The 16,391-nt window shown below is 44.0% G+C and overlaps 1 protein-coding gene across 14 annotated transcripts in view, besides 2 other annotated features; it reads left to right on the forward strand.

Annotated features, from left to right (window-relative positions):
• The window catches only part of PRDM2 (PR/SET domain 2), a 124,892-nt gene that overhangs the window by 67,033 nt on the left and 41,468 nt on the right, over nt 1–16,391 (forward strand). For 11 of the 14 annotated variants that reach the window (NM_001393986.1, XM_047429994.1, XM_047429995.1 and 8 more), the window contains 2 exons: nt 5,858–5,968; nt 11,198–15,611. The exons of 1 other annotated variant lie outside the window; for it this stretch is intronic. In NM_001393986.1, the coding sequence (NP_001380915.1) occupies nt 5,858–5,968; nt 11,198–15,611 (4,525 nt within the window). Of the gene's footprint in view, nt 1–1,897; nt 1,954–1,981; nt 4,995–5,857; nt 5,969–11,197; nt 15,612–16,391 lie in introns of those variants that run through there. 2 more of the 14 variants (NM_001393988.1, XM_017002260.3) reach the window with 2 other exon arrangements.
• Nucleotides 13,673–13,841: a silencer, noted in NCBI's record as "fragment chr1:14107388-14107556 (GRCh37/hg19 assembly coordinates)". NCBI's record gives its function as "represses an EF-1alpha promoter that drives an FKBP-Casp9 reporter gene in an ReSE screen in K562 erythroleukemia cells {active_cell/tissue: K562}" and the evidence as "EXISTENCE:reporter gene assay evidence [ECO:0000049][PMID:32094911]".
• Nucleotides 14,932–15,091: an enhancer, noted in NCBI's record as "active region_221". NCBI's record gives its function as "activates an Ori minimal core promoter by ATAC-STARR-seq in GM12878 lymphoblastoid cells {active_cell/tissue: GM12878}" and the evidence as "EXISTENCE:reporter gene assay evidence [ECO:0000049][PMID:35858748]".

The raw sequence follows: 16,391 nt of genomic DNA on the forward strand, positions 1-16,391 counted from the left end.
CACAGGATAAAATAGAAATAAAAAAAAGCATTCCAATTTGATTGTTGCTTTTTTTTTTTTAAACTATAAATGCAGTTTAAGTCTTTGTTTTGTTTTTGAGACAGTCTGTCGCCCAGGCTGGAGTGCAGTGGCACGATCATGGCTCACTGCAGCCATGACCTTCTGAGGTCGAGTGATCCTCCCACCTCAGCCTCCCAAGTAGCTGGCACCACAGGCATACACCACCACGCACAGCTAATTTTTTCTATTTTTTTTTTTTTTTTTGGTAGATACGGGGGTCTCACTATGTTGCCAAGGCTGGTCTTGAGCCCCTAAGCTTAAGCAATCTGCCTACCTTGGCCTCCCAAAGTGCTAGAATTACAGGCATGAGCCACTGTGCCTGGCCGATGCAAGTCTTTATGCAACTTTTTTCACTTGCACTTGAAACCAGTGAAATAATGGATCTGTAGAGTGCTTTGTAAAGTAAGGTATGCTGCTGGATGCCGTGACTACATCTGTAATCCCAGCACTTTTGAGAGGCCAAGGCAAGAGGATTGCTGAGCCCAGGAGTTCGAGACCAGCCTGGACAACAGCAAGATCTTGTCTCTACAAAAAAGAAACAAAATTTAGTCAGGCATGGTATCACATGCCTGTAGTTTCAGCTACATAGGAGGCTGAGGCAGGAGGGATCACCTGAGCCCAGGAGGTCGAGGCTGCAGTGAATCGAGATCATGCCATCGCACTCTAGCCTGAATGACAGAGTGAGAGACAGAGTAAGACCCTGTCTCAAAAGAAAAAGTATGCATATTAAGTCATTATTGATATTAAGAAGTAACTATTAAGAGAAAGAACATTTTTAACATTTTGTCCTTGAGTTTTTTTTTTTTTTTTTTTTTGAGACGGAGTCTCGCTCTGTTGCCCAGGCTGGAGTCCGGTGGCGTGATCTCGGCTCACTGCAAGCTCCACCTCCCGGGTTCACGCCATTCTCCTGCCTCAGCCTCCCAAGTAGCTGGGACTATACTACAGGCGCCCACCACCACGCCCGGCTAATGCTTTTATGTTTTTAGCAGAGACGGGGTTTCACCGCACTAGCCAGGATGGTCTCGATCTCCTGACCTCGTGATCTGCCCACCTTAGCCTCCCAAAGTGCTGGGATTACAGGCGTGAGCCACCGCGCCCGGCCTTCTTTTTTTTTTTAAGATGGAGTTTTGCCCTTGTCATTCAGGCTGGAATGCAGTGGCACGATCTCGGCTCACTGCAGTCTCCACCTCCCGGGTTCAAGTGATTCTCCTGCCTCAGCCTCCCAAGTAGCTGGGATTACAGGTGCCCTCCACCATGGCTGGCTAATTTTTGTATTTTTAGTAGAGATGGGGTTTCACCCACCATGTTGGCCAGGCTGGTCTCGAACTCCTAACCTCAGGTGATCCACCTGCCTCGGCCTCCCAAAGTGCTGGGATTACAGGTGTGACCCACTGCTCCTGGCCCTTGAGTTTTCATTCTGGCTTTACAGCTACTGTAGTCGTGTGTCATTGGGCAAGTTATTTCACATCTCTGCCCTTTGGGTGTCTACCTTGTAAAGTGATTTATGCGTTGGGACTTTGGGGGCTTCTAGCAAAATTGATCCATTAAGTGGCAGGGGCATCAGTTTTACAATAAGGGCGCACAGTACAGGCCCAAGAATGAATATACTACATTGGTCTTATTCTCAGCAACTAAGTACACAGTTAAACATTATTTTTGGCATGTGAGCACCTTGATGCAGTAGATAACTGCTGTTTTCCTTCTGTTGTATTCAATTTCTCATCTTGATGTATTCATTTCTTTTCCTCATGCACATAGTGTTGTCCTGTCCCTCTGCTGTTCCTTGTCATCATTTCCATTTCACTTCCCTTGTGTTTCATTCCTCTTTCTTGTCTAGACCAAGCGGAGCAGCCAGCTGGCAGTAGCGCCCTGTAGGACCCCCAGGACCCGATGGTAAGTGCACTTGTGTGCTTGCCAGGCCTCCCAGCGGCTCCTGCTCCTCTGCCTCACAGAGAGAAGCTCACAAATGCCATCTCCCCTCTGTAAATGTCCTTATGGGTTTGGTTTTTTCTTTTAATTTGATGACATATAGGACAGAAATCAGGTGTCAGAAGAAATCAGTACTGGTTTAAGGAAATGTAGCAGGTTCCACCGCCTGTTGCTGCAATATTTGGCGGTTGTGAGGGACACCAAGCCTGTGTATGTGTGGGCAGGACCCCTGGTTCTGCTTTCTGTTCTGCCATAGGCTAATTACTTCCCCTCTGGCGCTGGCCTTCACTTTCTCCCACAAAATTGAAGGCAGGACAGGTGATTTCAATAGCCCCTTCATCTCTAGTCCAAGGCCCTCACGATGAGACGTAACTTAACTGATGGTTCTCATGAAGATTGAGAACATTGTTCCAGGTGTCAGATAATCTCAATTCCATGGATGAATGATATAGACTTGTGATAGACTCATTTCCTTGATAAACTAAGTGTGTTGGTATTCACCAAATTTAGTTTGGTGGTAAATTTAGTTCTTCATCTCTCCATTTTTAGAATTGGCTTATTAGTGTTATTCAAGTACTTTTTGTAGTTTTTAATACATGTATAGACCGTCGAGTGTGATCCAGAAATGCATTGATCTAGTCCAGTGGTTCTTAACCTGGGGAAATCTTCTCCCCAGGGGACATCTGGCCATGTCTAGAGACTTTGGATTGTCACAATTAGAAGGGGGGGTGCCACTAGCATCTAGTAAATAGTGGCTACAGGTGCAGTTAAACATCTTCCAGTGCATCAGACAGCCCACCCCACAGCCAAGGATGATCTGGCCCAGATGTCGTTCATGCTGCGGTTGAGGCGCCTTGGTACCCTGTAGTGGTCTGTGGCGGGATCCCCTCCTTAGTCCTCTGATAAGATACTGGAGATGTACCTACTGCAAATGGCTTCTCCTCACAGTGGATTGGGTTTCCAGGGTCATGGCTTTTAAAGAGGACACCTGGAGAGAGAAAAGGGAGTTCTCGCTGATTAGGTTTTGTTTGTCCAATAAAGGACATTTGACATTTAGTATCAGCTAGGTGCTCTAACATTCTTTTAGGTAGGGAATAAAACTTAAAATAGCACTTATGTTTTAGACAGTTATGTGATTTCATTTTGAGTGCATCTTAATGGTATTAAGATTGTACTTCCTTTTGTTAAGATATAAATCTAGACATTTTACTTATTTAATACTCTATTTACATGTAGAACAGTGTACTTGGCTTTTTATATGACCTACAGACTGGGTTTGTACAACACTTGGGAGGTTGTAGAAAAATCTTTGCATTTTTTTTTGCAAGTGACTGTATTACAAGAAATTGACATCGGTTTTTCTATTAAATTTTACACTGTGGCCCTTCTTTAAATGTGTGTGAGGTTTATGCAAGGAGTGAAGGTTTAGATTACACCTCTCCATTTTAATTTATTTTAAAAGCTCATACTAAGTAAGTACTAAGTAAATGATCAGTAAAAAAAGGCCACATTCCTTGGCCTGTTTGGGGTTACCTGAGGGGTATGTCTTATAAAAATGTCATTGTTTGGGTTCAGAGAAAAAGTTTCTGAATATGATTTTTGAATCTGTGGGCTACACCAGGAACTCTCTCTTCACATGGTAATAAAAGAAGCCGTGAATTTCCTCACACATCAGTTGCAGCACAGAGAAGTTATGTTATGTCAGTAGTCATTATATTTGCATTATGGATGTGGGTGGGCGATAAGCATTTTGTTTGCTCTCAGTAATCTAATACGGGCTGAGCATCACACACAGGCAGAACTAGCTTATGTCATAAGCATAAGAAAACTGATGGAAAGGAGGTAGAATCCAAATTCCCTTAAACAAAACTGGATCCCTGAAGAACCTTTGTCATTATCTGATTTAGACAAAATGCTGTTAAGTTGACAAAGGGAGAAAGAGTCACAAGAGGACGTTATGCCTGTGGAAAGGTGCTTAGATGTTTGTGCCCCTTATGGAGGGGATTGGCTTATAATTCTTCACCTGGAGACGTGTGTTGGTCATCTCCATGCAGATCCTTCACTCTTGTTATCACCAGAGTGTGGTCCCGGTGAAGTGTGTGCTCGTTTTTTGAGTTCCATTTTAAGTGCCTTTGGAAATGAATGGATAGACAGGCTATCAGGAATTTATTTGCTCAAACCCTGATAAACGTAGTGGCAAAAACATCGGATTTCCTATGGGCTGAAGAATTAGGTATGTAGGCCGGGCACGGTGGCTCATGCCTGTAATCCCAGCACTCTGGGAGGCCGAGGCAGGCGGATCATGAGGTCAGGAGATCGAGACCATCCTGGCTAAGATGGTGAAACCCCGTCTCTACTAAAATACGAAAAATTAGCCGGGCGTGTTGGCGGGCGCCTGTAGTCCCAGCTACTCGGGAGGCTGAGGCAGGAGAATGGCATGAACCCGGGAGGCGGAGCTTGCAGTGAGCCAAGATTGTGCCACTGCACTCCAGCCTGGGCGACAGAGTGAGACTCCATCTCAAAAACAAAGAAAAAAAAAGGTGTTTAAAATGGTATTTTAGAATTTACGTTTTAAGACTAACAAGCAAAATGACTGTTAAGGTTATGTCTCAAATTTTTGTCAAAATCTGGTGGTGTTTTTTAGGATTTGTTTTTGCTTTGTATTGTATTTGATGTTTCTACTTTTAATCTAGATGTTTTCAATGATGCTATTTTATGTCTCTGACCTCATTTTTGTCTGTTTACATTTTTAGCTAATTATGCTTCCCGGTAGTGATTCTCTGTTATGGAGTATGTAACTTTACGTGTATATAGCAGCTTTAAGTCGTTTTTAGTTTGATTTTACTAATGCAGAGATAAAAGGTGTCAGAGGCTTGTAGTTCTGGAAGCTGGTGGAGGTTTGTCTGGGGGAGAGCAGCGGAGAAAAAGGAGGATTGTTACGGAAGAATGGGGATCTGTCTGGATCTGAAGACTGAAACACCAGCTTCCAGAAAAATAGAAATCTGGTAATTAAAAAATGTAAAAGAAAGGTTGCAAATTCTGGTTAAATCCTAAAGAAACTGGGCTTCTGACTTCTTCAGTATTATTACTCCTATAGATAATTGTTTCTTATCTTCATGACTTTAGTTCCGTTGTTCCAACTTATGAGAACGATGTTGCAATTTAATCTTACCTTGTAAACGTATGGTATCACTTGGAATGCAGTCAGTGTTTCTGAATTCCATCCTCTGAATTGTTAATGAAATATTGACCTGGACTGGACCTACAGTCAGATCCCTTAGGGCTCTCAGAGTGCCATGCTGGTGGACAGTGAATTATTCATAATTACTCTGCATTTGGTATTTGAGCCATTGTGAATGTGTATCTTTTGAAATTCCGCAGAATCTCTGCTTCTCTTGTTTTGCTTCCAACAATTATGGATAATCATGTCTTAGCTAAAAGGGCCCCAAGTTATAACATACTGTTTTTCTCTAATATGCTTCTTACAAATAGCCAATCCCTATTAGCTGTGTGGCATTGAAATTCAATGCTATTACTAATTTTCCTTTGACATCAATAGTAACGTTACCTCATAATTTGATAGTCATTATAGCTATGAAGGGAACTAATGCCCAAGATTCTCAAAAATGCAAGATTGATGTGTTTCTTTCTTTTCCCCTCTGTCATAATTTACCTATATAACAGAGTATTTACAGTCATCATTCATTCCTTTCTTTAGGAATCCAAAGTGGTAATTGCCCAGGAATATACAGTGTTCTTGATTGGATTAATAATTATCTTCAGTAATTCAGAATAACACATGAGGGAATGAATGAATGAATAAATAAAAAAAAAATGAATGAATAAATTAAAAAAAATTGTGTTTCAGGGAAGAAAAAATCCCAGGAAAATAAAAACAAAGGAAACAAAATCCAAGACATACAACTGAAGACAAGTGAGCCAGATTTCACCTCTGCAAATATGAGAGATTCTGCAGAAGGTAAGCTTGTGATATTGGCTTGGTCTGAATTGGGTGTGTATGTACCCAGTGAATTTAACTTTGTATCTCTTTATATTGTCCTTCTGAGAATCATTTAGGATCTTTACGAGGTTAAACAGCAAAAAAGCTGCCTAAATTTAATGTGGTAAGCTGAGCCTTCTATATGCTACCTTCCCTTCAAACAATTGTGAAAGACTTTTCTTCTTAAAAATGAACTTGTTCCTTTGTTAAAATAAAATGAGACCAGGTGTGGTGGCTCACACCTGTAATCCCAGCACTTTGGGAGGCTGAGCCAGAAGGATCTCTGGAGGCCAGGAGTTTGAGGCCAGCCCGGGCAACATAGTGAGACCCTGTTTCTACAAAAGAAAATAAGAAAATTCACTAAGATGATGGCATGTGCCTGTAGTTCTAGCTACTTGACAGGCTGAGGTGGGAGGATCACTGGTGCCCAGGAGTTAGAGGCTACATTGAGCTGTGATCCCCCCACTGTACTCCAGCCTGGGTGACAGGGCGAGACTGTCTCTAAAAAAATAAAAATAATGATAATAAAATGAAACATATGATTGCATTTAAAAATAGCATGAAGTTCAAAACCATCAAAAAATAGTGATAGCAAGGACATGAGGAGGCACCTGGGGTGCTCGCTGTTTTCTATTATTCATCTGTGGAATGGTCACATGGGTATATATATTTAGTGAAAATTTTATCTTGCTATATACTCAACTATTTGTACACTTTAATACATGTACGTTTTATACTTCAAATTAAGCATTTACTTACAATGTCAGAGACTTTGATTTTTGTATAACAGAACAAAAAGTATACAGAATGAAGTGTGTTTCTGTTTTTTGTTGGAATTTAAATTCTTATTTTGTCTCTTCGTGTTTGTCCCCTTAAAATTTTCTCCTTTATAGTCCCTCTGGTGATAATATTCTAGGCCTGCCACGACGTAAGAATCCAACCAAGAGGCATGGATTGAAAGTTAATCAGAAAGACAGCTTGCCCTCTGCTCATTGCAGTTGGGCCACCATATTGAGACTATTGATACAGAAGGGAAGGAGGTGTGTCTTAATTTGCCATGGGCAAATTTTTGCAGATTGCAGCTTACTTGAGTTGTTTATAGTGAGCCAAGTAGGCAAATTTCAGAAGACAGGTTTGTGACTCTTTTAAGAAATATTTGTAGAGGAAAATAACCAGAATATTTTGGATGCCTTTCATAACCATTTTTAAGCACTGTTTGTGATGATAACATTCATAAAAGATATAATTTTCTGTGAAACAAGAATAGTCAAGTTCATTTCCCAGAGTCTTAAGACTAAGTTCTGCCTCCTCATTGCAGGTGTGCCGAGAGTTTTTTTTGAACAACAAAAATTACTAAGGAACCTCACTACCTTTGGCGGTAGAATTAGAAAACAGATTCAGCAGTCACCTACTCCCCTTCAGTAATTCGAGACAATTATTTTTCTCCTGACACAACATCAGGTCCCATGAAAAATGACACTTGCTGGCCTGGCGCGGTGGCTCACGCCTGTAATCCCAGCACTTTGGGAGGCCGAGGCGGGTGGATCACAAGGTCAGGAGATCGAGACTATCCTGGCTAACATGGTGAAACCCCGTCTCTACTAAAAATACAAAAAAATTAGCCAGGCGTGGTGGTGGGCGCCTGTAGTCCGGGAGGCTGAGGCAGGAAAATGGTGTGAACCCAGGAGGCGGAGCTTGCAGTGAGCCGAGATCGTGCCACTGCACTCCAGCCTGGGCGACAGAGCGAGACTCCGTCTCAAAAAAAAAAAAAAAAGAAAAATGACACTTGCTCTTCACCCCCCAGTATTTGGCACAGCTGGTCAAAGTGGTGTCGTAGGCTTCCGCTGAATGTTCTGCGTTGTCCTCAGCAAATGGTCTATACCATGAGCAAACAGTTCAGACTCTTCTTTGTGCTCCCAAACCTCCCTTTATGTTCAAAACTCCAGAGACCACATAAAGTGCGTGGATCCACTCTGGCATGGGCCGTGCTTGTTAATGGAGCTGTGCAGACTTCGGTTTATGTTACTTTGGACAGTTTTATATCTGGGATTGTTTACCAGTCATGGGGAAAGACATTTTTTCCCCATCAAAAGAAGCCACAGATTTTGACTGAAAATAAAGTCTGTTAGGAAATTTCTGAGCCTTAGAGTTGGCGTTTTCTGTTGTCTCATTTCAACTCTTTTGGCAGTATTCGGGGTCTCTATTGAAAATATCTTTGAAAAGAGAGGTAGCTCCTAATTTGAAATATGTTACTACTGTCGAATGACTGGTTTCCCACTTTGTGGAAAGCTCATGGAATTTATGAAATTAGTCTAGGGGGAGAGAAGGCTGTTTCTGTTTGGAAACAGAAACCTCATTGCTAGTAAATGGAGTAGCAGATGGGAAACAGTAATTCCCGATATTCCTGGGAAACAGCAAGGAGGCTAGGACTGAATAAGTGAGCTTGTATGAGTAATACTTGGCATTGACCTCTTCCCCACTGTATCCACGCAGTCCCCATGTCCAGTAGCAGGCCTCTCAGATCGTGAGGGTCTGGCTGCTCTTTTCTGCCTCCACTGCCTCTTCCCCTTTCCTTCTTAGCACAGCAGCCAGCATCTCCATTCTCATTCTGCTCTGCCAGTCTTGCTCCTCGGCCTCCAGTGATGACCTTCCCCCATCCCTTCACCCACCCTGCAGCCGAATCTCCCAGATGGCAGTCTCCTGCTTTCAGATACCTTCAGTGGCTCCCCACTGTCCCCAGATAAGTCCACATTAATTTACAGTGTTCTCTATGTTTTGACTCTTTTCTGCTTGCTTTTCCTCTTCTGTCCTTAATTCTTGTATTCTTCAGGTTCTGTCTGCTTAGTCCTTTCTCTAAGAAGCCTTTCCTGATTAATCAAACCCATATGAGATGCTTCCGTACCACACTCACTTCCATAAACACAGCCATCAATGTTCTACAGTTTCGTTGCCTTCCTGCTTGTGTGTGGCTTGTATTAAAGTGAAGCTCTCTATGGGTAAGGATCGTGACAGTCTTGTTTACCTAGTACTGGCAGATAGTGGGTGCTAAGTCAGTATTTGCAAGTGATTGGGGGAACAGCCAGGTAATGTAGCCTGGAGAAGAAGTCAGAATAGCTCTGCCTCCTCCGTGGAACCTTTCTTAACTCTCCTAGTGCCTGCAGTAGAGGGGTCCGCTTCTGCAGTGCAGCAAGTGGGACTGTCGCGACAGCAGCATTGGGGACCATTCCTACTAGCACGAAACCGCGATTACAGCTTCCGTCTTTAAGAATCCCCTCTTGTCCCTGTGTTTTCTTCCAGTCTCTTCTCCATTTCTTTTTCTTTACAGGTAAACTTGAAAGAGTTGCTAATAGTCTCCCTGTCTCTCCATCTCCTTCCATTCTCTTAGGAACTCTGTTAGACATTTGTCCCCACTACTCCACTTGCTGTCACAATCACAAGACCTCTGCCTTGGCAGATGGAATGTTCCATTCTCAGTCCTCATTTTATCCAACCCATCAGGAGTTCTGGACACAGCTGATCATGCCCTCCTTGAAGCAGTTTCTTTACTTTGCCAAAGGACCACCACTCTCTTGGTTCTCTGGATACCTCACTGGCCTTTCCCCCAGCCTCAGTCGTGGAGTCATCTGGGACACAATCCTCTCATCCCTCTTCTGCCTGCGTTCACTTGCCAGGTGACCTCATCCAGTCCAGTGCTCTAAATACCTTCTCTGGCCTTCTCTAGGACTTTGAAATTTCTAGGCCAGCCTCTTTGTTGAATTCCAGATTCATATAAAGCTGTCTACTTAATATATTTACTTGGATGTCTATAATCAGGTACCTTAAACTTTAGCACGTCTGAAGTAAGCTCTTGATTTCCCCCACAACACGCACATGCACACAGACCACAGTTGCTTCTCTTGTGGTCTTCCAACGTTTTATTAGCCAGGATTATTGCAGTTGCGTGGAATCTCCTCTTCTCTCTCACCACAGCCAGTCAGCAGGCATGTTGTCAACTTCATTGACAAAATATATCCAGAGCACTTGTAGTCCCGCCCTGCTGCCACCCCTGTGCCACCATCCTGCCTCTCCTGGAGGATGCATTGGGCCCCATCTTTCCATCTGCCTCCACCCTTGTCACCTAGGGTTCACTATCTTCCTTGTAGTAACCAGAGTGATTCTCTTGAATACAAGTCAGATTATATATTTCCGTTAGATCTTTCTGGTAGCTCCCTGTTTTCACTCAAGAGTAAAAGCCAGCAGCCTGCAGGGGCTTGTGTAAGTAGGCCCCTGTTTGCATCTCTAGTCTTACCTCCTGCCCTCACTTTGCCCAGCTTCCCCACCTCACCTCACTGATGTCTTTGCTGTTCTTTGAATGCATCTAGTATGTTCTTGACTCAGCGCTTATGCATTTTGAGGGTTCCTCTATCCAGTAGGGCTCCTCCTCCCACCCCCCCCCCCAATATTTGCATGCCTCATTTTCCTTAGGTCTCTCCTCCACTGTCACCTTCTAAGCAAGTCCTTCCCTGACTGCCTTCTACCACCCACCTCAGGTGGGCTAGGCCTAGGGACTCCGAAGTGACTGCAGATTTCTGTTCCCTTCAGTGAGATGCTCCTGAGTTCTTAATAACTTGGCTAGGCTTAGAAGAGATGATCTCCAAAGATTGTCTAGCTTGAAAAACTTGTGATTACATGATTCTGGAAAATGTTCTAGCTTCTGAGAATAACATTTTATTTAAGAGGGAGAGAGGATCATTTACTCCAGACAGACTTCCAAGGATCTAACCTGGTGATATGTCTGGTAAAGAACTGTTTCCAGTTTGGAATCATGAGAAATTAGAATTTACAACTACTCCTAAAATGTAGTAGTGACTACTCCAACACGATTTTAAACACTACAGTTTCTGTCAACAGAGTTGTATCTGTGTGCAACTAAACACAAATCCCCAGCTCCACACGGACATCCTTGTCTGTTGCGCTCGTGTGTGTCCTCACTGCCGGGAATATTGCCTGGTACGTGGCTGGTACCCTAAATACTTGTTGAATGAAGTGGATTCATATCCAATACAACTTTGTCAATTAAGTATATAAAGTAGAAGTAATTTATTGTTCATCATCATCTCCCTTATGTTTTAGGTGGTAAGAGAAATAACTTGAATCATTCAGATTGTTCACCAAGTAGCTGGTTTCCCATGCTTCACTTCCATGCTTCTGCTTCCATGTGCTTTCTAGGTCCTAAAGAAGACGAAGAGAAGCCTTCAGCCTCAGCACTTGAGCAGCCGGCCACCCTCCAGGAGGTGGCCAGTCAGGAGGTGCCTCCAGAACTAGCAACCCCTGCCCCTGCCTGGGAGCCACAGCCAGAACCAGACGAGCGATTAGAAGCGGCAGCTTGTGAGGTGAATGATTTGGGGGAAGAGGAGGAGGAGGAAGAGGAGGAGGATGAAGAAGAAGAAGAAGATGATGATGATGATGAGTTGGAAGACGAGGGGGAAGAAGAAGCCAGCATGCCAAATGAAAATTCTGTGAAAGAGCCAGAAATACGGTGTGATGAGAAGCCAGAAGATTTATTAGAGGAACCAAAAACAACTTCAGAAGAAACTCTTGAAGACTGCTCAGAGGTAACACCTGCCATGCAAATCCCCAGAACTAAAGAAGAGGCCAATGGTGATGTATTTGAAACGTTTATGTTTCCGTGTCAACATTGTGAAAGGAAGTTTACAACCAAACAGGGGCTTGAGCGTCACATGCATATCCATATATCCACCGTCAATCATGCTTTCAAATGCAAGTACTGTGGGAAAGCCTTTGGCACACAGATTAACCGGCGGCGACATGAGCGGCGCCATGAAGCAGGGTTAAAGCGGAAACCCAGCCAAACACTACAGCCGTCAGAGGATCTGGCTGATGGCAAAGCATCTGGAGAAAACGTTGCTTCAAAAGATGATTCGAGTCCTCCCAGTCTTGGGCCAGACTGTCTGATCATGAATTCAGAGAAGGCTTCCCAAGACACAATAAATTCTTCTGTCGTAGAAGAGAATGGGGAAGTTAAAGAACTTCATCCGTGCAAATATTGTAAAAAGGTTTTTGGAACTCATACTAATATGAGACGGCATCAGCGTAGAGTTCACGAACGTCATCTGATTCCCAAAGGTGTACGGCGAAAAGGAGGCCTTGAAGAGCCCCAGCCTCCAGCAGAACAGGCCCAGGCCACCCAGAACGTGTATGTACCAAGCACAGAGCCGGAGGAGGAAGGGGAAGCAGATGATGTGTACATCATGGACATTTCTAGCAATATCTCTGAAAACTTAAATTACTATATTGATGGTAAAATTCAAACTAATAACAACACTAGTAACTGTGATGTGATTGAGATGGAGTCTGCTTCGGCAGATTTGTATGGTATAAATTGTCTGCTCACTCCAGTTACAGTGGAAATTACTCAAAATATAAAGACCACACAGGTCCCTGTAACAGAAGATCTTCCTAAAGAGCCTTTGGGCAGCACAAATAGTGAGGCCAAGAAGCGGAGAACTGCGAGCCCACCTGCACTGCCCAAAATTAAGGCCGAAACAGACTCTGACCCCATGGTCCCCTCTTGCTCTTTAAGTCTTCCTCTTAGCATATCAACAACAGAGGCAGTGTCTTTCCACAAAGAGAAAAGTGTTTATTTGTCATCAAAGCTCAAACAACTTCTTCAAACCCAAGATAAACTAACTCCTGCAGGGATTTCAGCAACTGAAATAGCTAAATTAGGTCCTGTTTGTGTGTCTGCTCCTGCATCAATGTTGCCTGTGACCTCAAGTAGGTTTAAGAGGCGGACCAGCTCTCCTCCCAGTTCTCCACAGCACAGTCCTGCCCTTCGAGACTTTGGAAAGCCAAGTGATGGGAAAGCAGCATGGACCGATGCCGGGCTGACTTCCAAAAAATCCAAATTAGAAAGTCACAGCGACTCACCAGCATGGAGTTTGTCTGGGAGAGATGAGAGAGAAACTGTGAGCCCTCCATGCTTTGATGAATATAAAATGTCTAAAGAGTGGACAGCTAGTTCTGCTTTTAGCAGTGTGTGCAACCAGCAGCCACTGGATTTATCCAGCGGTGTCAAACAGAAGGCTGAGGGTACAGGCAAGACTCCAGTCCAGTGGGAATCTGTCTTAGATCTCAGTGTGCATAAAAAGCATTGTAGTGACTCTGAAGGCAAGGAATTCAAAGAAAGTCATTCAGTGCAGCCTACGTGTAGTGCTGTAAAGAAAAGGAAACCAACCACCTGCATGCTGCAGAAGGTTCTTCTCAATGAATATAATGGCATCGATTTACCTGTAGAAAACCCTGCAGATGGGACCAGGAGCCCAAGTCCTTGTAAATCCCTAGAAGCTCAGCCAGATCCTGACCTCGGTCCGGGCTCTGGTTTCCCTGCCCCTACTGTTGAGTCCACACCTGATGTTTGTCCTTCATCACCTGCCCTGCAGACACCCTCCCTTTCATCCGGTCAGCTGCCTCCTCTCTTGATCCCCACAGATCCCTCTTCCCCTCCACCCTGTCCCCCGGTATTAACTGTTGCCACTCCGCCCCCTCCCCTCCTTCCTACCGTACCTCTTCCAGCCCCCTCTTCCAGTGCATCTCCACACCCATGCCCCTCTCCACTCTCAAATGCCACCGCACAGTCCCCACTTCCAATTCTGTCCCCAACAGTGTCCCCCTCTCCCTCTCCCATTCCTCCCGTGGAGCCCCTGATGTCTGCCGCCTCACCCGGGCCTCCAACACTTTCTTCTTCCTCCTCTTCATCTTCCTCCTCCTCTTCGTTTTCTTCTTCATCTTCCTCCTCTTCTCCTTCTCCACCTCCTCTCTCCGCAATATCATCTGTTGTTTCCTCTGGTGATAATCTGGAGGCTTCTCTCCCCATGATATCTTTCAAACAGGAGGAATTAGAGAATGAAGGTCTGAAACCCAGGGAAGAGCCCCAGTCTGCTGCTGAACAGGATGTTGTTGTTCAGGAAACATTCAACAAAAACTTTGTTTGCAACGTCTGTGAATCACCTTTTCTTTCCATTAAAGATCTAACCAAACATTTATCTATTCATGCTGAAGAATGGCCCTTCAAATGTGAATTTTGTGTGCAGCTTTTTAAGGATAAAACGGACTTGTCAGAACATCGCTTTTTGCTTCATGGAGTTGGGAATATCTTTGTGTGTTCTGTTTGTAAAAAAGAATTTGCTTTTTTGTGCAATTTGCAGCAGCACCAGCGAGATCTCCACCCAGATAAGGTGTGCACACATCACGAGTTTGAAAGCGGGACTCTGAGGCCCCAGAACTTTACAGATCCCAGCAAGGCCCATGTAGAGCATATGCAGAGCTTGCCAGAAGATCCTTTAGAAACTTCTAAAGAAGAAGAGGAGTTAAATGATTCCTCTGAAGAGCTTTACACGACTATAAAAATAATGGCTTCTGGAATAAAGACAAAAGATCCAGATGTTCGATTGGGCCTCAATCAGCATTACCCAAGCTTTAAACCACCTCCATTTCAGTACCATCACCGTAACCCCATGGGGATTGGTGTGACAGCCACAAATTTCACTACACACAATATTCCACAGACTTTCACTACCGCCATTCGCTGCACAAAGTGTGGAAAAGGTGTCGACAATATGCCGGAGTTGCACAAACATATCCTGGCTTGTGCTTCTGCAAGTGACAAGAAGAGGTACACGCCTAAGAAAAACCCAGTACCATTAAAACAAACTGTGCAACCCAAAAATGGCGTGGTGGTTTTAGATAACTCTGGGAAAAATGCCTTCCGACGAATGGGACAGCCCAAAAGGCTTAACTTTAGTGTTGAGCTCAGCAAAATGTCGTCGAATAAGCTCAAATTAAATGCATTGAAGAAAAAAAATCAGCTAGTACAGAAAGCAATTCTTCAGAAAAACAAATCTGCAAAGCAGAAGGCCGACTTGAAAAATGCTTGTGAGTCATCCTCTCACATCTGCCCTTACTGTAATCGAGAGTTCACTTACATTGGAAGCCTGAATAAACACGCCGCCTTCAGCTGTCCCAAAAAACCCCTTTCTCCTCCCAAAAAAAAAGTTTCTCATTCATCTAAGAAAGGTGGACACTCATCACCTGCAAGTAGTGACAAAAACAGTAACAGCAACCACCGCAGACGGACAGCGGATGCGGAGATTAAAATGCAAAGCATGCAGACTCCGTTGGGCAAGACCAGAGCCCGCAGCTCAGGCCCCACCCAAGTCCCACTTCCCTCCTCATCCTTCAGGTCCAAGCAGAACGTCAAGTTTGCAGCTTCGGTGAAATCCAAAAAACCAAGCTCCTCCTCTTTAAGGAACTCCAGCCCGATAAGAATGGCCAAAATAACTCATGTTGAGGGGAAAAAACCTAAAGCTGTGGCCAAGAATCATTCTGCTCAGCTTTCCAGCAAAACATCACGGAGCCTGCACGTGAGGGTACAGAAAAGCAAAGCTGTTTTACAAAGCAAATCCACCTTGGCGAGTAAGAAAAGAACAGACCGGTTCAATATAAAATCTAGAGAGCGGAGTGGGGGGCCAGTCACCCGGAGCCTTCAGCTGGCAGCTGCTGCTGACTTGAGTGAGAACAAGAGAGAGGACGGCAGCGCCAAGCAGGAGCTGAAGGACTTCAGGTAAGCTCAGGAGCTGGTGGGAGGGAAAGACCGGGAAGGCGACAGTATCCTTGCCTACGGGTGTTTTTTGGTTTCTTGTTGCTTTTTTTTTTTTTTTTCCCCACTTAAAGGAAATAGCTGTTGTATAAGTTAAAGGCATGAAGGGTCATTGCTTTGGCTGCTTTTAGAGATGAATAAATAGTTCTAATTTCAGACTTAGGACTCACAAAGCAGTGCCACTTCTTTAATGTGGCCAGATGTAAATTGAATTTAAAACTATAGAAAAGCTCTCAAAAGTACTCTAAGAAAAGATGCAATCCTCTCAAACTTCCTTTATGTCTTGGGTAATAGCTCAGTGTCATGTGTCTTATTTTCCGATCATAGAACATTTCTTAGGTTAAGACGGGTCACTAAGTTCATTAGTAAACCATGTTACAATCTTGTTTAATATTTCTGTGACTTCAGCATAGATCTAGTACCTGACACTTTCTTTCAGAATTGCCAATGCTTAAATTTTAATAATTGATTGCATCGGTCAAAACAAAACATAGTCCTTTAAAAAGGTCTTATGCACTGTCCCCCACCTCCTGAACTCAGCCGTAGGACGGTAAACAAGTCAGGATCTGGATGGGAAGCAGAGCAGGAGAGACATGCTTGGAACTCCAGGCAGGACCCTTGCAGCTCTTTCAGGCCTGTGTGATACCCAGGGCATGTCAGCCTCATTTGTCAGTGCCTTTGTTTCCCCAGTAATGATAGAAGGATTTGTCTTAGATTTGAAGTGACTTTACTGCTTTATTCCCT

Source organism: Homo sapiens, chromosome 1 (genome assembly GCF_000001405.40).
Source record: "Homo sapiens chromosome 1, GRCh38.p14 Primary Assembly".
Lineage (NCBI taxonomy): Eukaryota > Metazoa > Chordata > Mammalia > Primates > Hominidae > Homo > Homo sapiens.